The sequence below is a fragment of the Homo sapiens genome, chromosome 14 (assembly GCF_000001405.40).
Source record: "Homo sapiens chromosome 14, GRCh38.p14 Primary Assembly".
Lineage (NCBI taxonomy): Eukaryota > Metazoa > Chordata > Mammalia > Primates > Hominidae > Homo > Homo sapiens.
This window is the reverse complement of record NC_000014.9, coordinates 90,757,127-90,783,849: the sequence shown is the minus strand read 5'-3', so window position 1 is coordinate 90,783,849 and position 26,723 is coordinate 90,757,127. Positions and strand designations below refer to the sequence as shown.

Here is a 26,723-nt window from a genome sequence, read left to right as displayed (position 1 = left end):
TTCTTATGCCTCAGCCTCCTGAGTAGCTGTGACTACAGCCGCATGCCACCACACCTGGCTAATTTTTGTATTTTTAATAGAGACGTGGTTTTACCATGTTGGCCAGGCTGGTCTCGAACTGCTGACCTCAGGTGATCTGCCTGCGTCGGCCTCCGAAAGTGCTGGGATTACAGGCCTGAGCCACTGCACCCAGCTGTTGAATTTAATTCAAGTTAAAATGCTTGAGTCTGAGTCCAGTTCTGGATTTATAAGCTGTGTGATCTTGGGACGTTACTTAACCTCTCTGAGCTTCATGTTTCTCAGCTGCAGGCCTACTTAACCCAGGATTGTTTTGAGGCTCAAATGGAGAAATTCTTTCAAAGCTGTATAGCACTAGATACACATCATTTCTTGCTATGTTATTAGTTCTACCTAGAGAATTTTTTTCTCCCATTGCTCTTTTTCACCTTCCTCCATCTTATAAAGAATGTTCCAAAGCCGTACATCTTTTGCATGGGTGTGCTGTCCTACTCACACCAACTAATGTGAAACTTTCTCTTTCCTTGAGCTTAAGTCCAGCTTGTCTTAAGTGAATTGAGGCTGGGAAGACCAGAGCCAGCCAGGCATGTAGTGGGATGGAAAGAGTCCTGGACTAGGAGTCAGGACATCTGGCTTGTGATTCAAGGCAAGAAAATGGTCCTTATTGTGAGCAAGGTGGCCCCTGACACTGTGTTGGGGCTGTTCTCCCACTGCCCAGGCAGCCGAGGCGCCCTGGCCAAGCTGTTTCCTGTACTTGGGTGGAGACTGGACTCGCCCAGGGAGGCTCTCCCAGTGTGTCCAAGCTGTGCCTCTAGGCTTGCAATTTTCTTCAAGCGTTTTCTCCACCTGGCTCTCCAGTTTGCTTTTGTTAACCTTTTTTTTTTTCCCTTTTGGTAAAATATACATAACTTACAACCTAACATTATAGCTCTTTGTAAGTGTACAGTGTAGTGGCGTTAAGTATATTACCATTGTCACTCAGCCGTCACCACCCTCCATCTCCAGGACTCTTTGCATCTTCCCAGAGCGAACCTCTTGTGATGTGTCCATTAATGCTAACTCCTCATTCCCCCTCCTCTTTCAATTCGCCTTTAATCCAACGGTTCTTAGAGGCTAGAAGCTTGGGGAAGGAGGGTAGACTTCCCAGAATGTCCTAGGAAATGTTTTCAAAATACCCAAGCCTGGCCTGTCCCCTACCTGGGTGGAGAACCCCTGTGGTGGATGCTTTTTTTTGAGACAGAGTCTCGCTCTGTCATCCAGGCTGGAGTGCAATGGCGTGATCTTGGCTCACTGCAACCTCCGCCTCCTGGGTTCAAGTGATTCTTGTGCCTTAGCCTCCTGAGTAGCTGGGATTACAGGTGTGCACCACCATGCCCCACTAATTTTTGTATTTTTAGTAGAGATGGGGTTTCACCATGTTGGCCAGGCTGGTCACGAACTTCTGGCGTCAAGTGATCTGCCTGCCTCGGCCTCCCAAAGTGCTGGGATTATAGGTGTGAGCCACCGCACTCGGCCTGGATGCTTTTTTTCTCTTTTCTGAGTCTGCTTTGATTTCTCTGTCTCCAGATGTAATTCTAATTCCTCTGGTGCCTCTCCCTTGGGCCACCCATAAACACTTTTGCTCCCATCAGTCCTGCTTGTCCACTGCACCATCCTTTCCAATGCTGCCTGATGTCCCTCCCTCTTCCAAGAAATGCCTGGAAGCCGACCACGCTGGCTGAGATAGCTGCTGTAACACGCTGTACCTGGCTACCTGGCCGTGTTGTCCACTCATCAAAGCTCTAGGTTACAGTATAAATAGTGCGGTTTCATGGTGTGCTTCTGTAAGCAAAAACCTCAGCTTTGAACCGCTTGGGCTCTGAGGAGAAGGTCTGGCCACAGAAGATAAATCTGTTTCCTTATATAGGTGGCAGGGTGGCCTGTTCTTTCCCTAGGTGCCGGAGGACGGGTCAGGGAGGAAGGCAATGATGAGGCTTTGGGGAGAGGGGGACTGGCCAGGCCAGCCTTGCTGACTGGGAGGAAGGGGGGCCCACAGAGAACTTCCAGCCCTTAGCCTCTAGGGAGGGTACCAGGTCACCTCAGTTTAGAAACTTCAATGGCTCAGTGAGAAACTTCGCCCTGGAAAGCAAGCAAGTCCTGATCTTCACATCCATTTGGGAAGGCTCTCCTTGGTTATTTGGGTTACAGGGTTGTGGTGCATCTCCAGTGCCATGGCCAGACCCACCAGGATGTCTGGCCGCTTCCTTTTCTGAGACAGGTGCTTGTATGTTTAACTTATGAAGCATTCCTTCCTTCCCAGCCGGCCCAGCCCAGCCACAGGCCTGATGAAGGGAGCCGCAGGGTTTTGTTTTGGTTTGGTTTTTGCAACAGCTTTATTGAAGTGTGATTCACATACCATACAACTCACCCATTCAGAGTGTCCACTTCAGTGATTTTTAGTATATTCATGAAGTTGTGCAACCATCACCACAATGAATTCTAGAACATTTTCATCACCTCCCAAAGAAACCCCATTATCACCAGCAGCCACCTCCCATTCCTAGCCAAGACTAATCTGTTTTCTAACTCTAGACTTGACTATCCTGGACATTTCATACACGTGGAAGCATACAATATGTGGCCTTTTGTGACTGGATTTTTCACTTGGCATCATGTTTTTAGGGTTCGTCTATGTTGTAGCATAACAGTACTTCATTCTTTACTACAACTGAGCAATATTCCATTTTATGGCTAGCCCACATTTTGGTGGACATTTGGGTTGTTTCCACTGTTTGGCTATTGTGGATAACACTGCTCAGAACATTCACGTCCAAGCTCTTGTGCGGGGAGCTGTGGGGTTTTACGGCAGCAGCTGGCCAGACTCTGAGGGAGCATCATGCCTGATATTGTAGGAAAATGCTTTTCTTTCTCTCCTTTTGCTTCTAGTCAGAATTCCTACAAGAATCCAATCTGATCATGGCCAAGTTGAATTATGTGGAAGGTGATTATAAAGAAGCTCTGAACATTTACGCCCGGGTGGGCCTGGACGATCTGCCACTGACAGCTGTCCCGCCCTACAGGCTGCGGGTGATCGCAGAAGCCTACGCTACCAAAGGTGAGGCCCGTGCCTTCTAACACAGTGTCCCGTGACCTGGAGCCAGCAGCGCCTCTTCGGAGCTGCCTATTTGACCCTTGGCCCTTGGCTGGTGATGAACCTGGCAGTTCCCAGCAAGGCTGCTGGGGCCGCCCTGCAGCACATGCTGGGTCATGCTAAGCCCAGCAGGGATTTGTCCCTCCAAGCCAGTGGCCATCAGCTGTCACTGAAGGGGATGAAGGAAAAACATTTCAGCAAAGTTTCTTTCCTTTCTTTCTTTCTTTCTTTTTCTTTCTTTCTTTCTTTTCTTTCCTTCTCTCTCTCTCTCTTTCTTTCTTTCTTTCTTTCTCTGTTTCTTTCTCTCTTTCTTTTTTTTTGAGATGGAGTTTTGCTCTTGTTGCCCAGGCTGGAGTGCAATGGTGTGATCTTGGCTTACCGCAACCTCCGCCTCCCAGGTTTAAGTGATTCTCCTGCCTCAACCTCCCGAGTAGCTGGGATTACAGGCATGCGCCACCACACCCAGCTAATTTTGTATTTTTAGTAGAGAGGGGGTTTCTCCATGTTGGTCAGGCTGGTCTCGAACTCCTGACATCAGGTGATCCGCCCACCTCAGCCTCCCAAAGTGCTGGGATTACAGGCATGAGCCACCGCGCCCAGCTTCAGCAAAGTTTCTTGATAAGTAGTATGCAACTTCAGCAGGGGCCTTTCTTGGTAATTAAAATCCTGCACAGCATGTAGGGATTCATATCATATGGTCAGTTGGCCACATGGCTGATGATGTTTTTATTCATTAATGCCACCTCTGGGTTCATTAAGGCTAATCAGTTGACACACAGCAATCACTAGCAATCAGTCCTCTCTTAGTTAACTGTGTACCTATTCAGGGACAAGAAGAACGTGTAAATATCTCACTGCCATGAAGCAGTTTGCACTCTAGTGTGAGATAATGCAATCTCATGGGAAGAAAAAGTCTGGAAGCACAGGACACACAGATGATCGGACCGTTCCAAGCTGCTGCTTCCTCAATCTGTAATGGGCATAATCACACCCACTTCATGGGGCTCTTAGGAGGATTAAGTCAAATAATGTATGTAAAGCATTGATTGTGGTACCTGGCACATTCTAAATGCTGCATAAATGATATTTTAAAATCTCGACCAGGTGCGGTAGCTCACGCCTGTAATCCCAGCACTTTGGAGGCCAAGGCGGGCAGATCACCTGAGGTCAGGAGTTCGAGACCAGCCTGGCCAACATGGTGAAACCCTGTCTCTACTAAAAGTACAAAAATTAGCCGGGTGTGGTGGCAGGTGCCTGTAATCCCAGCTACTCAGGAAGCTGAGGCAGGAGAATTGCTGGAAACCCGGGAGGCAGAGGTTGCAGTGAGCTGAGATCGCGCCATTGCACTCCAGCCTGTGCGACAAGAGCGAGACTCCATCTCAAAAAAATTAAAAAAATAAAAAATAAAATCTCAACCCCAAACATGGCAGCAAATAGTAAAAGCTAGGGATGGGTAATACGGAGAGGTCACTTCAGGCCAGCAGGGCCAGGAAGGCTTCCTAGAGGAAGAGGGACACTTTGAATGGGACTTCTTAAGGCCATGGCAAGAAGTGGACTATCTGGAGTGGCTCCTGTCCTTCTGGCCATCTGCTGTTCAAACCACGTTCCGTGACTGACTGTGGCTGGCAGAGACCAGGGCCCTGGGTGGCGCGTCCCTCCAGCACAGTCATGAGCTGGCCATTGAGTGCTGCCAGCACTTTCTGGCTGAGATGAGGGGGCTACAGGTGGTCCAGCCTGTCTGACTTAGTTGTCTTCTGCAGTGTTGAACAAAGACCCAGCCCGGGGCACACTTGTTAAGAGCTTTGTGAAGGGGGTGATATATTCACCCAGTTCCCTGGGGACCCTTGAGTACTGCCAGGCTCCTCTAATTAATCTTCTAAACGTCCCCATGGGCTAGGAAAAAATGCCCTTGCTCTCGACAGGGCACTCTGGCAGTTTAATGGGCACGCCCCTTTGAGGCTGCCTCTGGGGTCCTGACAGCATTCGGCTTTGTTTGCATCTGTCTGAGCTACGGGGAGTGCTGGGGTCTGTGCCACACAGCCACGCTCTTTCCTCCCTGGTGTTCACCCAGCTACCTCACGTGCCTCAGCAGCTGTGTGTGTGTGTGTGTGGCCAGCAACAGCATTCTGGAAGCACAGCAAAGCATCATCTGGCAATTTCCACCTGCCCAACTGCCCTGGGGCTGGTGAGTTGTACCAGGAGTTGGCTTCCTATTTGGGGGTGGGAGGTGGCTTTGGGGCCTGCCCAGTACCCAGAGCCCACGTCCTAGGATTGGTTCTGAGATAGTTTAATGGAGGCAGGCTGTCTACAGGTGTCACTGCCAGCTCAGTCTTTTGGCTGCCATGAAAGGTGGGCAAGGAGGACAGGCAACTTGGGCCCCGAGCCTGGCCCTGGGTGATATGTGGTCACCCCGCCCATGAGGTTGTGGCATTGGCTCTTGGGACACCTGCTGGCTCACGGGAGACCTGGCTCTGGCTAGTTTCTGACTTCTGTGAGTGCAGGTAGAGTCACATGTATACTGGGAGAGGGAAGGGTCACTTCTGCCTAGAGGAAGTGGCCAGCAGCCTGGGGGCTCCAGGCCCTGGAGAGCCTGGTGGGCCAGGTGAGAGACAGTGTAGAGGGACGGTTATGAGCATCGGCCCTGACCATCTGCCTGGGTCCTACTCAGTGTGTCACATGCTGGCTCTGGGGCCTTGTGCAAGTTCCTTAGCCTCTCTCTGCCCCTGTTTCCCCGCCCATCAAGCTCTCATTGGCTTGTCACGAGGACTGCATGAGATAGCACACATAAAATGCTTCTACAGTGCCGACACATAGTGAGCGCAACGTAAATGTCAGCTGAAGCTGAGTGTTGGGTGGGCCCTGAGGGACTAGAAGTGACTTGTACTAACAGGGCAATTGCGGGCCCAATTCATGGAGATGCCCAGAGACAGGCCTGCTCTCTGAGGAGTTCAAGAGGCCCTCAGTCCTAGCTCTGTGTAGGAATATTCTTGGCCCTTCTTTCTTCACCAAGGTCCCTCAGGATTTTTAAGGGGAGGCTGCTGTCAGGGGGTTCTCTGAATGTTGGTCCCTCCCCTAGGCTATGTGCACACTGCTCTAGGCAGTGCAATTGACCTGCACACTTTGTCACCTCAACTTTTCCCTGGTGACCTGAGGTCTGAGTTGGCCAGGGTTTTCAGATAGAGTCCCTTCCCCTGGCCAGCCAACGTTAGCCTTTGCTGATTGGGAATCGGAAGCCTGCATGGTTCAGCTCCCAGAACCTCCTATGGGCCAGCACTATGTTAGGGGATTTCCTGTCTCTTTAACTCTCCAAACCCCAAATTTACAGAAGAGAGAAATGAGAGGAGGTGAGGTTATGCAGAAGCGTAGCAGTGGCCACGGTGTACTGAGAGATTCCTGCGTGCCAGGTGTGATGCCCTTTATCCCAGTATCTCATTCACTCTTTTAAAAAAAAATAAAAATAAAAAAACGGAGTCTCGCTCTATTGCCCAGGCTGGAGTGCAATGGCACAATCTCGGCCCACTGCAACCTCCGCTTCCCAGGTTCAAGTGATTCTTCTGCCTCAGCCTCACAAGTAGTTGGGATTACAGGTGTGCACTATCACACCTGGCTAATTTTTGTATTTTTTTTTAGTAGAGACAGGGTTTCACCATGTTGGCCAGGCTGGTCTCGAACTCCTGATCTCAGGTGATCCACCCACCTCGGCCTCCCAAAGTATTGGGATTAAAGGCATGAGCCACCATGCCCAGCCTTCATTCAGTCTTTGCCACCACCTATGAGGTAAACACCATTATTCTTTCCATTTTACAGAAAAGAAACCTGGGGCACAGGGAGGTTAGGTAAACTTGCCCAGGGTCCTACAGCTAGGAAGTGGTTGAGCCAGGACTTGACCTCAGAGACTGGCTCTAGGGCCCTTGTTCTCTCCTCTGAGTGGCAGAATGGGGTCTCAGTCTGACACCCATGTTCCTAATTGCTCTCTTCTACTGGCACATGGACTGGAACTCACTTGGGCTGGGTAAGGTTTCTTCAGGGAGAAAACATTCAGGTCACTCGAGAATACCCTAGATTTGTACTCCTGCCCTTGGTTCCTCTACCTTAATGCCTCACCTTTGCCGGGTTTCCTCCTGTAAGTTCTGTCCTTCCAGCTCATATTGCTGTCTTCTCTGAAGCCCCCTGGGAAGAGTCAATGATATTTGATGTTGTCGTAGCACAGTACATTAGAATTATGTAAGAAATGACTGGAGTTGTACGCATGCTCACTTAAGGCGTCCTTCCCTTGCCAATCTAGCATTCCTAGAAGAAGGTCATCTACCAGTTACACTCCGCCATTTTGCCCCTTAGTGCGCATGCTTGAGCCCCTCGCCCAACTCCTGAGAACTAGTTGGGAAGCTGCTGATCACCAATTTCGAGTTTCTTCTATCTGCTGGGAGGCTGCTTTTTCCTGATGCAGGCTGCTACCAATTATTATTTTAGAGAAACAGTTAACAACTGCCTGACCATCACCTGATGGTCACCTGACATTCCTGGCGTGTGTGTGTGTGTGTGTGTGTGTGTGTGTGTGTGTCACGGGGGGCCCTCTCCTGCCCTGCTCATGCCTGACTAACTGCCTACTATAACAGGGCTACTTGCCTTCCTCAGCATTTTCTGTGGCCTTCTTTTCTGCATACACAGAGGAAAGTAAGCACCTATCTCTGCTTTATAAACAGAAACATAATTAATAAAAGAGACAAAATGAACAGTTCCCTTTTTAGTAAAATAAAATTTTTAAACCGGAAATTTTAAAATTTAAAATTTTTAAACCGGAAATTTTAAAAATGGGGCCTGGAAACAGCAGGGGAATTAACTTCTTTTCCAGATTGCATGGCACCAAAGCAGAGGACTGGCTCTGAAGAGCAAATGGGGCCAGCACGGTCATCTCCCACCAGCACAGTCATCTCCCATGCAGACATTTTATTTCCCAGTAGGGGAGACTGTGCCAGAGAGGAGAAGGGACTTGCCCTATGTCACACAATCCAGGACCAAGATGTGGGGATGTTTCTTGGCAGGAAATTTTTCCGTCAAGCTGAGTAACCTCTGTGCCCAGGTGGAGGAGCTGGGCTCCTCCTGTGCCCAGGAGGAGGTGCCCAGGTGTAAAGCACCATGTCGGGCGGTTTACAGAGCTCCTTTACCTTCTCCATTCCTCCCTGCTGCTGGGGTGGAAATTGCTCTTCCATGCAGTGGTTAAGGGCATGAAGCTTGGGGTCAGGCTGTCCAGGTTTGACCTCTGGCTTTGTCACTTACTAGCTAAAGGGTCTTGGGCAAATTATTTTCACCCCACTGGGTCTGTTTTCTCATCTGTAAATGGAGATAATAATAATATCTACCTTACAGGGTTGTGCAGGGAATGGGTGAATACATGTAAAGCACTTAGCACAATGCCCGGCAGATCAACAAATGTGTTATTTTTATTCTTATGTATCCCTTGGGTTTGACCACAAATGATTGGCCTCTTCAGATGCCCCAGGTAACAACATCTGGTTATGGGGAGAGGGGAGAGGCCGGCTTTTTTCCATGAATACATTGGTGCCTTAGTGGATCTGCTTTGTCAGGCAGAGGGTTTGACCATCAGGAAGTGGGACCTGGGATCCCTACATTTACGGGGAGAATTTTTTTTTTTTTTTTGAGACAGAATTTCACTCTTGTTGCCCAGGCTGGAGTGCAGTGGCGCAATCTCGGCTCACTGTAACTTCTGCCTCCCGCGTTCAAGTGATTCTCCTGCCTCAGCCTCCCAAGCAGCTGGGATTACAGGTGCGTGCAACCACGCCTGGCTAATTGTTTTTATATTCTTAGTAGAGACAGGGTTTCACCATGTTGGCTAGGCTGGTCTCAAACTCTTGACCTCAGATGATCCACCCGCCTCGGCCTCCCAAAGTGCTGGGATTACAGGCGTGAGCCACCGCGCCCAGCCTAGCGGGGGACTCTTTAGGGGAAGATCACATGAAGATCAGAGGCCTGGAGTGCGGCTTAGGGAAGGGAAAGTTGTTGCTGATGTTGGAGGATGGGGAGTACCTAGAAGTCAGGGGCAGCTGGAGAAGCTACCCACATCATCCCTTCTGCCCAGCTCCAGCCAGATGCTTGGCAGGCAGATGGAGTGAGCAGGTGTGCTCTGTTCACAGAGGGGGTGGAGGGGGCAGTGCAAATCCAAGTCAGCCTCGACAACTCCATCCCACAGGGCTTTCTGAGGGCAGGGCCTAAGCTCCTGCCTTAGGCATATGCAGAGGGGTAAACGGTGTATGCAGCGCTGACCGCCCAAGCCATGCTGCAGATCCATTTTCTAGTTTCTGCCAAAATCTGTGCATTAGGGCCTTTTCAGCTGTAGGTGAAAGAAAACCCAGTTTAAACTGACTTCAGTGGCAGCTGGCTTCAGGGCTCAAAGACATGGATTCTTCCTCTCTGTTTCCCCTCCCCTCTTGTTGCTTTCCATCTCAGGCCCCAGGTGAGCGGAGCGGCTACAGACTGTCATTGTCCTGGGTGTGATCCTCAGACATCTCGGTCGGGTTCTTGTTGTGTCTTATTGGCCCCAACTGGATCACATTCTCATCCTTGATCCAGTGACCATGGTGAAGAGGGGCTGGTCCCATTAGGGGGATCAGAGGTAGGGCAGTGTCCAGTGTCCATGACAGATGTCCACAGCAGTGGCTCCTCTGAATAGAAGCCTTTCATCATATAGGTCCAGGGCTCTTTATTTTTTTCTTTGAGGTGGCCCCTGCAGGGAAGAAGAGAAGGGAAAATCAGGGAGCAGCCAGGTGACTGCTCTGTGAGAGGGTCACTGTGGACTAGAGGTGACCTTGGGACCAGACCGTGTGAGGCCGATCAACACTGAAGGAATGGGGCTTTTTGGGGGAAGAGCAGCCTCCAGGGGTGGAGGAGCAGGCCTCACCTGTGTGGAGGGCTCTTGGAGGAAGAAAGACTCGGTCTGTTTTGGCCTCAGGGACAGGACCAGAGCCGGGCACTGGAAACTGCATGAAGTTCAGTGTTAGTCCCATTTACAGAAGCCAATTTCTAACCTCACAGCTGCCAGAGAGCTCAGCTGCATGGAGAGGCAGGGGTTCCCTGTGCCTGAGCATTTATTGAGCGCTGATGGAGAGTCTGGCATGGTGCGTGGTGATTTACCTGCGTGATTGTGCTTATCCTGAGAACAATCCCGGACCCTAGTATTATCGTTCCCTGCGGAGGGGTTAAGAGGCTGCTTTTCAGAGTTGAGATGGGATTCAAAGCAAGGCCTGTGGACTCCAGCATCCATACTCTTTCCACTTTACTGAGCTGCCTGTCAGTGGGAGCATAATCACTCATTGTGAGTGAGGATATGGTTGATGCGATTCTGGTGTGAGATAACCTGCTTAGCCTTGATTGTGTTCTGTGATTTGTGAGTGATTTAAGTCTGACTTTTCTTATCTGCAAAACAGAGCTAATAATACTCTCACAAGAGTACTGAGAAGACTAAATAAGACAAAATGGGAAGATGCTTTGAATTTATAAATCCAAGGTCAGTGGAAGGGGATTTGAATAGTCAGATCTCATGGACAGCTGAGGCTGGGAGCAGCAGGTGGCTGTGATGGCCTTGCCCCTCCTGTCCCTGAAGGCCCTGCCTGCCACGCTCCTTAGCTGAGCTAGCCAGCAATACTTCTAGCTGTCCCTAGTATTGATCTCTTGTTTCATCCCCCACAATTTTATTTTATTGTTCTTTTAAAAAATTTATTATTTATTTACTTTTTTGAAACAGGGTCACGCTCCGTTGCCAGGCTGGTGTGATCTCGGCTCACTGCAACCTCTGTCTCCCAGGCTCAAGCGATCTTCCCACCTCAGCTGGGACTACAGGCATGCACCATCCTGCCTAGCTAATTTTTGGTATTTTTTCTAGAGATGAGGTTTTGCCATGTTGCCCAGGCTGGTCCCGAACTCCTGAACTCAAGAGATCCTCCTGCCTTGGCCTCCCAAAGTGCTGGGATTACAGGCATGAGCCACTGCACCCGGCTTTATTGTTCTTAATATAGACAAAATACATGTGTTTTATATAAAATTCAGAAATGATGACTAATCAAAAGAACATAAAGATATCCATTACCCATCTACTCAAGGCAGTTGCTGTTAACACTACAGTGCATTTCCTTCCAGATCTTCTCTACACCTCCTGTATGTGTGAATTTTTTTATATAAAAGTGGGATTATACCACATATACTGCTTTGTGACCTGCTTTTTCTACTTCACTATAGATCGTAAACACTTTCCATGACAGTATATAACTTTCTGCAACATTTAAGCAGCTGTATAACATTTCATAGTATGGATGAAGTATAATCTATTTAACTAAAGCCTCTATTTTTGGACATGTAGGTTGTTTTCAGCTTTTCACTGTTATACACGAGGCTGTGATGAGTACCCTGTCAGCCTGGTCTCTGTGCCTGTTCTTAATGATTTCCCTAGGAGAGGTTTCCTGAAATTGAGTTTCTGGGTTGAAGGGAGGTATTTCCAGATTGCCCTGCAGAACGGTGGTACCTGTATGCTTTCCTTCCTGTAGTGTGAGGAACCAGCCTCCTCCCATTCCAGCCAACACTGAATGCAATCCCTTCGATTTAAAAATGAGCATTTATTCTTTAGCTGTGTATTGAGTGTAGGCTGTTTGGAAAATAAAGAAATATATATATATTTCTTTATTTATAATATATATATTATAAATATATACATAAATTATATATATAATTATATATTTATATAAAATTTATACATATAAATATATATTTATATATAAAATAAAGAAATATATACATATATATGTATATACTTAATATTTATTTTTAAATATTTATAAATAAAGTCAGGTACCATACTGTTACTTGAGCTGGTTAACCACTGTTACACACACACACGTGCACACACACGCATTATATGTATTTACTATTTTTATATACAATTGAGATTATGCTTTATATACTATTTTATATTCTTTTTTCATTCTGTGTGTGTGTATGTGTGTACAATTATTTTTCCACGTCATTAAATATTTTTGAAAACTTAGTTTGTAAAGGCTGCACGGTGGTGTGCCTTATGGATTTTTTTCTTTTTTTGAGACGGGGTCTTGCTTTGTCGCCCAGGTTGGAGTGCAGTGGCGCAATCTCAGCTCACTGCAACCTCCATCCCCTGCACCAGGCTCAAGAGATCCTCCTGCCTCAGCCCCCACAAGTAGCTGAGGCTACAGGCATGTGCCACCACACCTGGTTAATTTTTGTATTTTTTGTAGAGATGGGGTTTGGACGTTGCCCAGGCTGGTCTTGAACTCCTGGGCTTAAGCGAGCCTCCCGCCTTGACCTCTCAAAGTGCTGGGATTACAGACGTGAGCCACGGTGCCGGGCCTATGAATATTTTTGTAATAGCTGCCCATGAAACATCTAGGTCATTTCAGTTTTTATATTATAAATATACTCTATAGCTTTTCTCCCCAGTTTATTTTATTTTGGTAAAACACGTATAACAAAATTTCCCATCTTCATTATTTTTAAGTGCACAGTTCAGTGAGATTAAATGTATTCTTCACATTGCTGTGCAACTGTCACCACCATCCGTCTCCAGAACTCTTTCCCTTTTAAAAACTCATGAAACAATAACTCCCCATTCCCCTCCCACCCCCAGCCACTGGAAGACACCATTCTACTTTCTGTCTGTCTGATTTTGCCTACTCTAGGTAGCTCATATAAGTGGAGTCATGTGGTATTTGCCTTTTTGTGATTGGCTTACGTTTCACTTAACATAATGTCCTCAAGGTTCATCCATGTTGTAACATGTGTCAGAATTTTCTTTCGTCTGCATGCAAAATAATACTCTATTGTGTGCATGTACCACGTTTTGACTCAATTTGTGACCTAACACATGGTCTGTCCTGGAAAATGTCCCATGCATACTTGAGAAGAAAATTGGGTAGAGTGACTGTTTATGTCTCTTAGGTCTAGTTGGTTTATTGTGTTTTAAGTCCTCTATGTCCTTACTTCTGTCTGGTTGTTCTTTTTTTTTTTTTTTGAGATGGAGTTTCACTCTTGTTGCCCAGGCTGGAGTGCAATGGCGTGATCTCGGCTCACCGCAACCTCTGCCTCCTGGGTTCAAGCGATTCTCCTGCCTCAGCCTCCCAAGTTGGGATTACAGGCATGCGCCACCACGCCCAGCTAATTTTGTATTTTTAGTAGGGACGGGGTTTCTCCATGTTGGTCAGGCTGGTCTTGAACTCCCGACCTCAGGTGATCTGCCCGCCTCAGCCTCCTAAAGTGATGGGATTACAGGCGTGAGCCACCGCGCCTGGCCTGGTTGTTCTATTCATTCTTAAGAGAGGGTTATTGAAGTTTCCAACTACTATTATAGAATTCTCTGTTTCTCCCTTCAATTCAATGTGTGAATTTTTTGCTTCATGTATTTTGATGGTCTGTAATTACATGTGTAAATGTTTATAACTGTTGTATCTTCTTACTGTATTGACTCTTTATTAATATATAACATCCTTCTTTGTCTCTTATTTGTTTACTTATTTTCAGAGATGGAGTCTCATTCTGTCGCCCAGGCTGGATTGCAGTGGTGCTATCATAGCTCACTGTAACTTTGAACTCCTGGGCTCAAGAGATCTCCTGCTTCAGCCTCCCGAGTAGCTGGAACTACAGATGTGTACCATCATACCCCTACTAATTTTTTTATTTTTTGTAGAGATGGGGTCTCACTATGTTGCCCAGGATGGTCTCAAACTCCTCGTATCAAATGACTCTCCTGCCTCAGCCCCCTGGATAGCTGAGATTACAGAAGCATGCCACCACACTCAACGCCTTTTTTAATTTAAAGTCTATTTTGTTGGATATCAGTATAGCCATCCCTGCTCTCTTGGTTACTATTTGCATGAATATCTTTTTGTTTGTTTGTTTTGAGACAGAGTCTCGCTGTGTCATCCAGGCTGCAGCACAGTGGTGTGATTACAGCTCACTGCAGCCTCAACCTCCTGAGTTCAAGTGATCCTCTTGCCTCAGCCTCCCGAGTAGCTGGGACTAAAGGCTCATGCCACCATGTCTGGCTAATTTTTAAATTTTATTTTGTAGAGATGAAGTCTTACTGTGTTGCTCAGGCTGGTCTTGAATTCCTGGGCTTAAGCAATCCTCCCACCTCAGCCTCCCTGAGTGCTAGGATCTGAAATGTGAGCCACTTTGTCCAGTCGGAATATCTTTTTCCATTCTTTCACTTTCAACGTATTTATGTCTGTGGATCTAGAGTTTCTTGTAGACGGCATATAGTTGGATCATGTTTTTTAAATCCATTCTGTCAATCTCCATCTTTTGATTGGAGAGTTTAATCCATTTCCATTTAAAGTAGGTACTGATAAGGGACTTACTTCTGTAATTTGCTATATTTTCTACATGCCTTATAGCTTTTTTATCCCTTGCTTTCTGCATTATTGTCTTCTTTTGTTAGTTGATTTTTTTTGTAGCGAAATATTTAAATTTCTCATTTCCTTTTGTGTATATTTGCTAGCTATTTTCTTTGTGGTTACCATGAAGATTCCATTTGATATCTTAAAGTTTAACACTCTAACTTAAATGTATACCAGCTTGACTAACATACAAAGACTCCATTCCTGTAAAGCTCTATCCCCACCCCTTTCTGTTACCGATGTCACAAAATTATATCTTTACCCATTGTATACCCCAAAACATAAGCTAATAATTCTTTTAAGTGCATTGTCTCTTAAATTATATAGGAAACAAAGCATGGAATTACAAGCCAAAGTTATAATAATACTAGTTTTTGAGTAATAATTTTAAAAATATATTAGTCTCTTAAGTCATGCAGATAATAAAAAGTGGAGTTACAAACTATTGTTACAATAATACTAGTTTTATAATTGCTAATGTATTCACTTTTATTGAGATCCTTAGTTCTTTATATAGCTTAGAGTTATTGCTTAGTGTCCTTTCATTTCACCTTGTGTGGCTTCTGTGAGCATTTCTTGCAGGGCAGTTCTAGTGGTAAAAAAACTCCTCAGCTTTTGTGTTTACTTGGGAATTTCTTAATTTATCTCTCACTTTTGAAGGATAGCTTTGGCAGATATGGGATTCTTGGTTGATATGGTTTGCTCTGTGTCCCCATTCAGATCTCATTTTAAATTGTAATACCCATGTGTTGAGGGAGGGATCTGTATTCCCCATGTATCAAGGGAGGGAGGTGATTTGTTCATGGGTACGGTTTTCCCCATGCTGTTCTCCTGAAAGTGAGTGAGTTATCATGTGATCTGATGGTTTTGTAAGTGTTTGGAAGTTTCTCCTTCACTCTCTCTCTCTCTCTCCCCCACTGCCTTGTAAAGAAGGTGGCTGCATCCCCTTCCACCATGATTGTAAGTCTCCTGAGGTCTCCCCAGCTATGTGGAACTGTGAGTCAATTAATCCTCTTTCCTTTATAAATTACACAGGCTCAAGGAAGTTCTTTATAGCAGTGTGAAAATGGACTAATACATTGGTTAAGAGTCTGTTTCTTTCAGCACTTTGAATATATCAGCCTATTGCAATCTGGCCTCTTATGTTTCTGATGAGAAATCTGCTGATAATTTTATTGAGGATCCCTTGTATGTGACAAGTTGCTTCTTGTTGCTTTTAAGATTCTCCCTTTGTCCTTCAAAAGTTTTACTATAATGTGCCTTGGTATGGGTCTTTCTCAGTTCCTTTTATTTGGAGTTTGTTAAGCTTCTTGGATGTTTATATTCTGGAGCTGAAAAAGTACAATAAATGATAATTGTACTTTTCACTTAATATCTTTCACCAAATTTCAAAAGTTTTCAGTCACTATTTCTTCAAATATCCTCTCTGCTCCTTTCTCTCCCTCTTTTCCTTCTATAATTCCCACAATACATATGTTAGTTCTCTTGATGGTGTTCCACATGTTTCTTAGGCTCTGTTCACTTTTCTTCAATCTTTTTTTCTGTTTGTTCTTCAGTGTCTTAGTTATTTTTGTGCTGCTGTCATATAACACAAGAAACTGGGTAGCTTATAAAGAAAAGAATTTATTTCTCACATTCCTGGAGGCTAGGAAGGCCAATATGAAGGTTCTAGCATCTGGCAAGTGTCTTCTTGCCTTATCTTCCCATGGTGGAAGGTGAGAGGGTGAGAGAAAGAAGGAAAAGGGGGCTGGACTTCCTCTCTTATAATGAATCTACTCCCAAGATAATGGCATTAATCACTCACTCTGTCTTCATGGTATGGTCACCTCTCATTAGGCCCTACCTCCCAACACTGTTGCAATGGGGATTAAGTCTTGAGTACATCCTTTTAATGGGACACATTCAAACCATAGCACTTATTCTCAATAATTTCTATTGTCCTGTCTTCAAGGTTACTGCCTGCTCAAGTTTGCCTTTGAAGCCCTCTAGTGAATTTTTCATTTCACTTATTGTACTTTTTCAGCTCTAGAATTTCACTTCTATTTTTTATTGAGACACGGTCTTGCTCTGTCACCCAGGATTGAACGCTGTGGCACTATCACAGCTCACTGTAACCTTGAGCTCCTGGGCTCAAGCGATGCTCCTGCCTCAGCCTCCCAAAGTGCTGCAGTTACAGGTGTGAGCTACTGCACCCAGCCCAGAATTTCTTTTCTTCCTTTCTTTCTTTTTTTTTTTTTTTTTGGTATATAAACTATTTATTAACAGACAAGGCCTACAGACTTATTTCTTCTTGGACACACCCACAGTGCGGCCATGGCGGCCAGTGGTCTTGGTGTGCTGACTTTGGACATGAAGGCCCCAGGAGTGGCACAGCCCTCTATGGGCCCGAATCTTCTTCAGTCGCTCCAGGTCTTCATGGAGCTTGTTGTCCAGACCATTGGCTAGGACCTGGCTATATTTTCCATCCTTTACATCCTTCTGTGTGTTCAAGAACCAGTCTGGGATCTTGTACTGGCATGGATTCTGCATAATGGTGATCACACGTTCCACCTCATCCTCAGTGAGTTCTCCCGCCCTCTTGGTGCAGTCAATGTCTGCTTTCCTCAACACCACATGAACATATCTTTGGCCCACACCCTTAATGGCAGGGATGGTAAAGGCTGTTTTCCACTGCCCATCGATGATGGTGTTGAGTACTCACAAAATATGCTGGAACTTTTCAGGGATCACTAGAGACATGGCGGCAGTACAAGAGGTGGCACGTAGGCCTCCTGTCCAGAATTTCTTATTGGCTTCTTTTTAGGTTTTCTATGTCCTTTTTGACATTTCAATTTTGTTCATACATCATTTTCTTGACTTTCACCACATCTTCCTTTAGTCTCTTGAGCATCTTTAAAATGGGTGTTTCTTTGTCTGGTAGATCTGCCATCAGGTCTTTTTCAAGGACAGTTTCAGTTGATATATACTTTTCCTCTGAATAGGCTGCTCTTTCCATTTTTGTGTGTGTGCCTTCTGATTTTTTTTTGATGTTGTTGAAAAATAGACATTTGAATCTAATAATGTGGTAACTCTGGAAATAGGATTCTCCCCATTCTCAGGGTTTGCTGTTTTTGTTTATTAAAAAAAAAAAAAAACGTTGTAGGCTGTCTTTGTGCCAAGGATCAGCCTGGGGTATATATTTGAGGTCTTCTTAGGTCTTCTCTGAGTCTGTGCCTTTCCATGGGCATGCATGGTCAACCATCTAATTTTCCCCATGTATGTAGTTGCCTTTGAATGCTCTAGTCTTGAATGTCTGGCCCTCAAAAGGGAGAAAGAGAAAAATGAGGCTGGGGGAAAGGGCACTGGCCCTTTAAATCCTCTGGATGTCACTTCTGTTGGTGTATGTGGGGTGGCTTGCAATAATGAAGGGAGGTGCAGCAACAATGGCTACTGCCTCTTTTCTGCACCCCTGTGATCAGAAGCAGCAGTCAGTGATCAGAACACAGATACCCAATATTTGGAGGACAGGGTGCTCTTTGCCCACCCTAGCTCCTGCAAGCTTTATATTTGCTTCTCTAGGAATGTGTTCACAGCTTCTACTATGCTAAAAGCTGAAATTAACTGCAATTTACCATCAAGCTTTCCCCTGGAAATTGTAAGCCTTCAAGAGACCCTGGAGTTCCAAAATAGTTATATTGAACAGATTGTGCCAGTACAATAGTTGTCTATGTGGGAAGATAGATTCCTGGTGCTTCATAGTCCACCATCTTCCCGGAATTCTGTTTATAGCTTTTTAAATAACAGATTTATTGATATATAACTCATATACCATACAATTCAACCCTTTAAAGTGTACAATTCAGTGGGTTTTAGTATATTCAGAGTTGTGCAACCATCACCACAATCAATTTCAGAAAATTTTTATTACTCCAAAAAAGAAACCTTTACCCATTAGCAGTCACTTCCCATTTCCTGAACCCCCACCCCAACTCTATAGCCCTAGTCAACCACTAATCTATACCCTGTCTCTATAGATTTGCCTAGTCTAGAAATTTTGTATAAATGAAATCATGCACTTGACTTTTTGTATCTGGCTTCTTTTCATTTAGCATAAAGTTTTAAAGGTCCTTATATGTTGCTGCATGTGTCATTTCTTTTTGTGACTGAATATTACATTGTATGGATATACCATTTTGCATATTTTGTTAATCCATTCATCAGTTGGTGGACAGCAGGTTATTTCTATTATTTGACTATTATTAATAATGCTGCTATGAACATTTGTGTACAGGTTTTTTGGTGAACATAATCCCATCCAAAACATTTTGGGTTTTCATTTATCTTGGATGTATACTTAGGGGTGGGATTATTGGATTACATGGTAACTCTGAGTGTAAGTTTTTGAGGAACTGCAAGCTGTTTTCCAAAGCAGCTCACCTGCATGAAGGTTCTAATTTCTTCACATCCTCATCAACACTTGTTGTTATCTGTCTTTTTGATTATAGCCATCCTAGAGTGTATGAAATGGTATCTCATTGTGGTTTTTATTTGCATTTCCCTAATGATAAGTGGTATTAAGCAATTTTTCATGTGCTTATTGGCCATTTGTATATCTTCTTTGGAGAAATATCTATTCAGATTCTTTGCCCATTTTTAATTGGGTTATTTGTCTTTCCATTATTGAGTTGTAGTAGTTCTTTATATATCCTAAATATAATTTCTTTTACAGATATATGGTTTGTAAATATTTTCTACAATTTTGTGGGTTGTCTTTCACTTTCTAAGTGATGTCCTTTGAAATGCAAACATTTTTCATTTTGATTAAGTCCAGTTCATTTTTTTTTCTTTTATTATTTTTGTTGTTTTGGTTTTGTATCTAAGAAACCATTGCCTAGTCAAGTTTATGAAGATTTACTCTTGTGATTTCTTCTATGAGTTTTATAGTTTTTACTCTTAAATTTAGGTGTCTGATCCATTTTGAGTTAATTTTTGTATATTTTTGTGAGGTCAGCATCCAACTTCATTCTTTTTGTATGTGGATCTTCAGTTGTTTCAGCCCAATTTTTTGAAAATACTGTTCTTTCTCCATTGAATTGTCTTGGCATCCTTGTTGAAAATTAGTTGAGCATATATGTAAGTGTTTATTTCTGGACTCTCTGTCTGTACCACTGGTCTGTATGTCTGTGCTTATGCCAGTACCACACTGTCTTTATTACTGTAGCTTTGTAGTAAGTTTTGAGTTTGGGGAGTGTGTTTTCTAACTTTGTTCTTCTTTTACAAGATTTTTTTGGCTTACATTTCATATAAATTTTAGGGTCAGGTTGTAAATTAGTGTAAGAAATAATTCTTGGTAGGGATTGTGTTGAATCTGTAGATTGATTTGGGAAGTATTGCTTTCTTAACAATATCAGGTCTTCCAATCCATGAACATGGGATATCTTCTTTAATTTCTTTCAAAAATGTTTTGTAGATTTTTTTGGCATTCAAGTCTTACATTCCTTTTGTTAAATTTATTCTAAGAGTTCTTTTTTATGTTATTATAAGTGAAACTATTTTTTAAATTTCAGATTGCTCATTACTAAGGTATAGAAATACAGCTCATTTTTGTTTATTAATCTTGTATCCTTTAACCCTGCTGAGCTCATTTATTAGCTATTATATTGTTTTTGTGGATTCTTTAGGGCTTTAAAATATGTAAGATCATGGCATTTGCAAATAAAGATAATTTTACATTTTCCTTTCCAATCTGGATGACTTTGTTGCTTTGTATTGCCTAATTGTGCTGGATAGTATCTCCAGTACAATGTTGATTAGAAATGACCAGAGTGGACATCCTTATTTTAGGGGGAAAGCTTTCAGTTTTTCACCACTAAGATGTTAGCAGTGGCGTTTTCATAGATAGCCTTTATCAACTTGAAGAAGCTCTTTTCTATTTCTAGTTTGTTGAGTGTTTTTATCATTATAGGGTTTAGACACTGTCTAATTTTTTTATTGCATTGTTCGTGTAATTTTTGTGCTTTATTTTTTAAATATTGCATTTTACGTTGAATGATTTTCATATATTAAACCAACCTTGCATTCCTGAATTAAATCCCATTTGGTCATGGTATATGATTTTTTAATGCATTGCTAGGTTCCATATGCTAATATTTTGTAGGGGATTTTAATACCTATATTCATAATAGATATTGGTGGTATTCTTGTGATGCCTTTGGTTTTAGTGTCAATGTTACGCTGGTGTCATAGGATGAGTTGTGAAGTGTTCCCTCCTTTTCTGCTTTTTGGAGGAGTTTGTGAAGAATTGGTGGTAGTTCTTTAAGTATTTGGTACAGTTCACCAAGGAAGCCATCTGACCCTGGGCTTTTCTTTGTAGACATTGTTTGATTGCTAATTCAATCTCTAGTTACCCTGTTGTTTTAATAGATTTTAATAGCCTTTACTTGCTCTCCCTGTTCTTTTGTATGGTATGTTTTCATTGGAGCCCTTAGCCTCTTGGTCATGGCAAACAGCCCTGATCCAAAAGTAGTTATCTTTAGTTATTTCCCAGTTTCAGGCGTGATGGCTTTGAGGAGTAGTCTCTATTCTGTTCTACAGCAATACTTTGAATAGGAGCCCATCTCATATTATAGAGCAAACCCGATACATGTCATAGTCAAGGGAAGCAATACTTCCTATATTTGCAATTGATTGACAAAATCAGCCTGGTGGATAAGTCCTATTTTTTTCTGCCAGGAAACTGCCAGCCCCTGACAAGTTTTAAGCAGGAGGAATGACTTAATTAAGTTTTTAAGCAAGAAAGATCTTTCTGGCACAGAGTGGAGAATAGATTAGAAAGAATTAAAGATTCTAGCGAAGGAGACTGGTTAAGGGGGTTAGTTGGATTTGGGCCCTTTCTCTGTTCTGTATTTCAGTGGGCTGAATTCTGCAGGCTTTTTCCCAGGTGCCCAAGTCAGTGGTTTCTGCCTGGGTTTGGTCAAGCAGAGGCACTGGTAGGAAATTGGAAGAGACAGATAAGCCAGGGTATTTCTCTCTGCCTCAGGCAGCACCTTTGCCAGCAATGGTGTCTCTTCAGTTGTCCTAGCTCCTGTCAGATGAAACCTTTCTCTGTAGTTTTAGTGCCCATTAGGGAGCTTCCTCTGGGTTTTGGCTCTCTATGGCCCCAGCTTCTGGGCTCTTAACTCTGCCTCCTCCCCATGTTCTTTCCAGTCCTAGGGATGTTAGTGGCTTCCTGCTATTTCAGAATTCTGGGGTACAAAACCATCCTGTTTGGCCTCTTATCTCTTTCATCTCCTATGCAGACAATTCCATACATTCAATTCCCTTTATTTGAAAGAACTAGAATGTTTTCATTATCCTAACTGTATCCTGACAGATATCAGAGGTATTGCAAAAGCCTAGATTCCAAGTACAAAGGGCTGAACCAAGGCAGGGGCAGGCAAGTGAGAATCCAGAGTCATTTGAAAGAGAAGCAGTAGGCCAGAGAGATAGGCTGTGTGTGTTGGGAGTTGGTATGGGAAGGTGGTTGAGGGAGGAATCCAGATGACAGTGAAATTTTTAGCTTAGCTCACTGGGCAGGTAATGATGTTGTCAAACCAAGTGAAGACTGCAGGAGTGTAATCGCCCATTGCATTCTTCCTGCCCACTGCACAGACAAAACCAACTCACTGAGACCAGGGCATTGCAATAAAGAGTTTAACTGACATGAGGCTAGCTGTGCCACATGGGTGATGGAGTTATTAATCAAATCAATCTCTGAAAATTCGGAGGCTAGAGTTTTTCAAGGATAGTGTGGCAGGCAAGGGAATGGGTGCTGCTGATTTGTTGGGGATGCAATCATAGGGGTGTGGAAAATGGTCTTCATGTGCTGAGTCTGCTTCTGGGTGGGGCCACAAGGCATGGCCCTGTGGTGGATCTGGTGGGGGTGATGGTTGTCAGAAATGTGAAAACCTGAAGAGATACCTCAAAAGGCCAATCTTAGGTTCTACAGTAGTGATGTTATCTGCAGGAGTAATTCGGGAAGTTGCAAATCTTGTGACCTTTGGAACAATGGCTGGTAATCACTTATGCCTTAGCAGAATTCAGGCTTCTCTCATCCTCCTAACCTGGTGGTCCTTCATTGGCAGTTGAGTTTTGGGGAAGTGTTATTATCATTTAAACTATAAACTAAATATCTCCTAAAGTTAGCTTGACCTAAGCCCAGGAATACCATAGTTTGGGGGTTAATGGCAAGATAGGGGTTGGTTAGATCAGATTTCTTTCACTGTCATAATTTTCTCACTGTTACAATTTTTGCAAAGGCGATTTCAGGAGAAGGAGCCCATTTTCCTTGGAGGGTAGAGGGAAGATACTGGATTGGTTGAACATGGTGGAATCTCTTTGTCCACAAGAGGGTGCTATCCTGGGGAAACATTGGAATTCTTGGCTAGTGCTCAGCATATAGGTTTCCAGGCTATTGGCTTGTTGGTCAGGATTCAGGAATAGGTCTGCGTATAGGTGCAGGACTTGGTTAAAACCCAGGAGTGGCTGAAGCTCATTTGGAGGGCATGGCTAGAGGCTGGGCCCTGCAAGGCCCCAGCAAGTAACAAGACAGCTCCACCTATAAGCACAATGCCCCCCAGGGCTCTGGGCTAGTGAAGGGGTGGAGGGATGCCGATGACACAGAGCTTTCCCCTGGGGTTTACAATGCCTGAAATACATGAGCATTTGGACATTTGTGCCGGATTTACATTCTCAGTTAAGGTGATGTTAAAATGTGGTGAAGAGTGTAAATAGTGGCCTGAGTGTCAGGACAAGCCAGTGTGAGGTTTAAATGTATCATGTTGAGATAATCAGGAGCTAATTATCTCGAAAAAAGAGTCATCCTCTCCCTTATTGCTTGAATCTCGAGTTCAAGTCCTCCTGCTAACCCTGGCAGGTCTAGGTATGGCATGCACCTCTGCAGACTGTGGAGGATATGTCCTAGTCTTGGCAGGCTGGCTGCATGTCCTGCTGTGTCCCACCCATCCTCTGCTCCAGGCTGCCTGCCTCCTTGCCCACCTGCCCTCACCCCTGCCAGGCCAACCCCCCACCTCTGTTTATCTTCTCCATCCATCTGGGAGTCATCTCTTCCCTGTGCTGAGTCCGCCCTTGGTGACACCCGTTGTTGCATACAGACCTCTCCAGCCCCGTTTGTCCACACCAATCTCTCCATCCTCTGATTCCACCTCTATTTATAGCTAGTACCATCTAATTTGGCATTCAGATTTTAATTATTTCACATCTGCCATTTGCCTCTCTCAAACTAGACTGTATAATTAATTAATTCATTAAATCAGCAAATATGTGAGTGCTTATTCTGGGTTGGGTGTTGAGGCTGTGTCATATCTAAGCTGCCTGCTTTATCTCCCTGCATGTGCGCCAGGGACAACAGTGCCTGCTGCACAGGGGTGCCTGTGACGGGGCCATTCTTTAACATTTTGCCCTGGCATCCAGGGGCACACTATTGAAGATAAACTCTAGCTGAATAACACACAAGGTGCCTAAGCAAAAGGGCAAACTTCTCAGTATATTCTGAGATCCACTCCATTTCAGAATAGGTTTTGGTTTGGGCCTGATATAAAAACAAATACTCTTGTGTCTAATGCCTCTTCTGCCTACACTCACCGACGAGCTGGTTCATCTCAATTTGTCAACTTTCAAGCTGTTTGGCTCTCAAGGGACTGCCTCCCACTGCTCATTTCCTCTGACAGCAGGTGACTCTCTGGGCCTCCTTAATGCAGTTTTCGCCTCTGCAATGTGTGGTGGTGGCCGCTGTAGTTTTTATTCTTAGGGTTTGGGTGCTTACTTCTAGGATCTCTTTGGGGCCTAGACTGCTACAAAGCTAGTAAGGTTGTAAGACATCACCTAGGCCAGACTCGTGTTTTATATTTTAAAACTCCTAGTACGGTGCTTGTTCCGTCACCACCCATCCCTTGGCTTCCATCGTTTCCAAACCATGTCTGGTGTTCATTTTCTTCTCCCAAATGTTCGTGATGCTTTGGGAATGCAAAAAGCATCCATATTTGGAAAGCTCAGAACTCTCTCGGGGGCGGGAGCAGAACACAGATTGTTCTGTGGAGAAGGAGAGAGTCATGTGCGGCTCAGAGCGTGGCTCTCCGGAGTGGGTCGGAGTGGGACAGAAGAGCAGGAAGGAAGCTGGGGCCGGCCTGGCTGGGCCTTCCTCGAACCAGGCAGAGGCAGGCAGCTGCCCTGCAGGGCCCACCGCAGTCTCTCAAGACAGACAGAGGAACGGTTTGTTGAGTGCCTACTGTGTGCCAGGTTCTGGAATTGTAAAAATATAATACATTATTAATAATGACTACAGCATTAAAATAATTCCTTCTAGACACTGTTCTAAGCACTTGTCCCTTACCTCCCTTTATCCTCACAACAACTCCAGAGCTAGAGACAGGAATAGAGCCCCCATTTGAGAAGGGGAGTGAGGGGTGCCTGCTTCCTGGACTGCGGCTAGCAGGTCATTTGGGGAGGGGCTCCCAGGTGCAGATTCCGCCGAGTCCGGACTGAAGGAGGACACGTCGATCCTGGTGTGCTGGGAGGTGCCTTAGTTTGCGTTTAGCGGCCTGTGAACGAGTCTTGGGACCTCTAAAAGCTGACTCAGGGCCACATCAGCTAGGACTCGCTGCTAGCTGCCGCCCAAGGTCGTCCCGCAGCCCCTCGGCAGCCGCCGCCAGGGGTCGCGGGAGCCGCGTTCTAGCGCAGTCGCGCGCCACAGTTGCGCATGCGCGGAGCTGCTCCGGGCGTCCTCGGCCGGGTCGGCCTTGGGACCGTGCCCCCCCTGCCCCGCCCCGCCCATCTCCCCTCCCCTCGCGTTTCGCCCCGCCCCGCTCACTGCTGTCCCCGACCCCGCCCCGCCCCACTCTCTTGCCCCGTCTCGCCCCGCCCCTCCTTGCGCTCTCGCCCCGCCGCGCCCCGCCCCGCCCCGCCCCGCCGTCCTGGAGCCAGTGCCCTGCATCTCGCGCAGGTGCCGCCGCAGGACTGCAGGACTGGTTCCTGCCGCGGCCACCGGGACAGTGGTGCCCCAAGGCCGGCTGACCATTTGAAGCCCCTGTACTTGGGTTGATTCCGCGATTCAACTCGAGTTCAGGGATGGAGAAGAAAGGCAAACTTGCCAACTCTCTTGATTAACCTCGCATTAGTGAGCCTTCTTAGGGACTCACCAAGCCGAGCTCTCTGGGAGGCGTTCACACTCACAGGCCCTGGCTGTTCGCAGGCAGCAGCTGAGCCTTCACCGATGTGCCCCTTTATTGTTTTCTGAGACCATATTTATAGAGACTCTCGTAGAAGCTGACAGCATTTAATACGTTAAACATTCAATGCGTGGGTATTTACAAAGAGAAAGGATGTAAAGGTGCGTTTCCTGCTTTAGCAGGAATTGAAGTACGTCATATTTTTCGTGGACCGAAAATTCCTGGTCATAAGGACTATAAAAGCCCAAAGAGGATTTTCCTGGAGTGTTCCTTGAGAGATTCATGTCTTCAAGTGAGATCTAATCCCAGTCTTTATGAATTGGATATTTGCTAATGACCATGATCTTCTAGGTGTCATCCTAGAGCCGTAGGACAGACAAGTGACCACTGACATTGCCTTTTCCCCGGCAGAAAAAGTCTCCAGTCTGTTGGGAGCTGTGTGGCAACTGCTGTGGACCTGCTGTGGTAGTAAGCTCATTGGATCAGGATTTGCCCATGTGACCTTGGGCAAATCATCTCTGAGCTTGAATCTCCTCATTTGCAAAGAGAGGACAGGAGAGAAGATAGAGCTCGATCTTTTTTCCTTGAGAATCTGCTTTTCTTTTCTTTCTTTCTTTTTTTAGAGACAGGGTCCTGCCCTGTCACCCAGGCTGGAGTGCAGTAGTGCGATCATAGCTCCCTGCAGCCCCAAACTCCTGGGCTCAAATGATACTCCTACCTTGTCCTCCCAAAGTGCTGGGAATACAGATGTGAGCCACCGCGCCAGGACTGCTTTTCATTTTTGGAAACATTGAGATCACTTCGGGTGCAGTGAAACAAGTAGTTTTATAGAAAAGTCCATGAGTGGAGGGAACGGGGTGGTTCAGGGGAGCTTTCCGGGGTGCTTTCTTTTGCCTATGTAGGAAACCCAGAGATGTGGTAGTAGGGGTTGTGAGGGGG

At 45.2% G+C, this 26,723-nt stretch overlaps 1 protein-coding gene, 1 long non-coding RNA gene and 1 pseudogene across 4 annotated transcripts in view, besides 1 other annotated feature; 1 reads left to right on the top strand and 2 right to left on the bottom strand.

Annotated features, from left to right (window-relative positions):
• TTC7B (tetratricopeptide repeat domain 7B) overlaps nt 1-26,723 on the top strand; it is a 291,867-nt gene that overhangs the window by 32,581 nt on the left and 232,563 nt on the right. For 2 of the 3 annotated variants that reach the window (NM_001010854.2, NM_001401365.1), the window contains exon 3: nt 2,944-3,112. In NM_001010854.2, coding sequence (NP_001010854.1) covers nt 2,944-3,112 — 169 coding nt within the window. The remainder of the gene's footprint in view (nt 1-2,943; nt 3,113-26,723) is intronic. The other variant, NM_001320421.2, reaches the window with a different exon arrangement.
• Nucleotides 16,822-17,355, bottom strand: RPS18P2 (ribosomal protein S18 pseudogene 2; annotated as a pseudogene).
• LOC124903360 (uncharacterized) lies at nt 24,333-25,289 on the bottom strand. Its single transcript, XR_007064302.1, has 2 exons — nt 24,950-25,289; nt 24,333-24,858 (listed from the first exon to the last, which is right to left on the bottom strand). It is a non-coding gene; the product is annotated as an uncharacterized LOC124903360 (long non-coding RNA).
• Nucleotides 25,183-25,522: a silencer, noted in NCBI's record as "silent region_6012". NCBI's record gives its function as "represses an Ori minimal core promoter by ATAC-STARR-seq in GM12878 lymphoblastoid cells {active_cell/tissue: GM12878}" and the evidence as "EXISTENCE:reporter gene assay evidence [ECO:0000049][PMID:35858748]".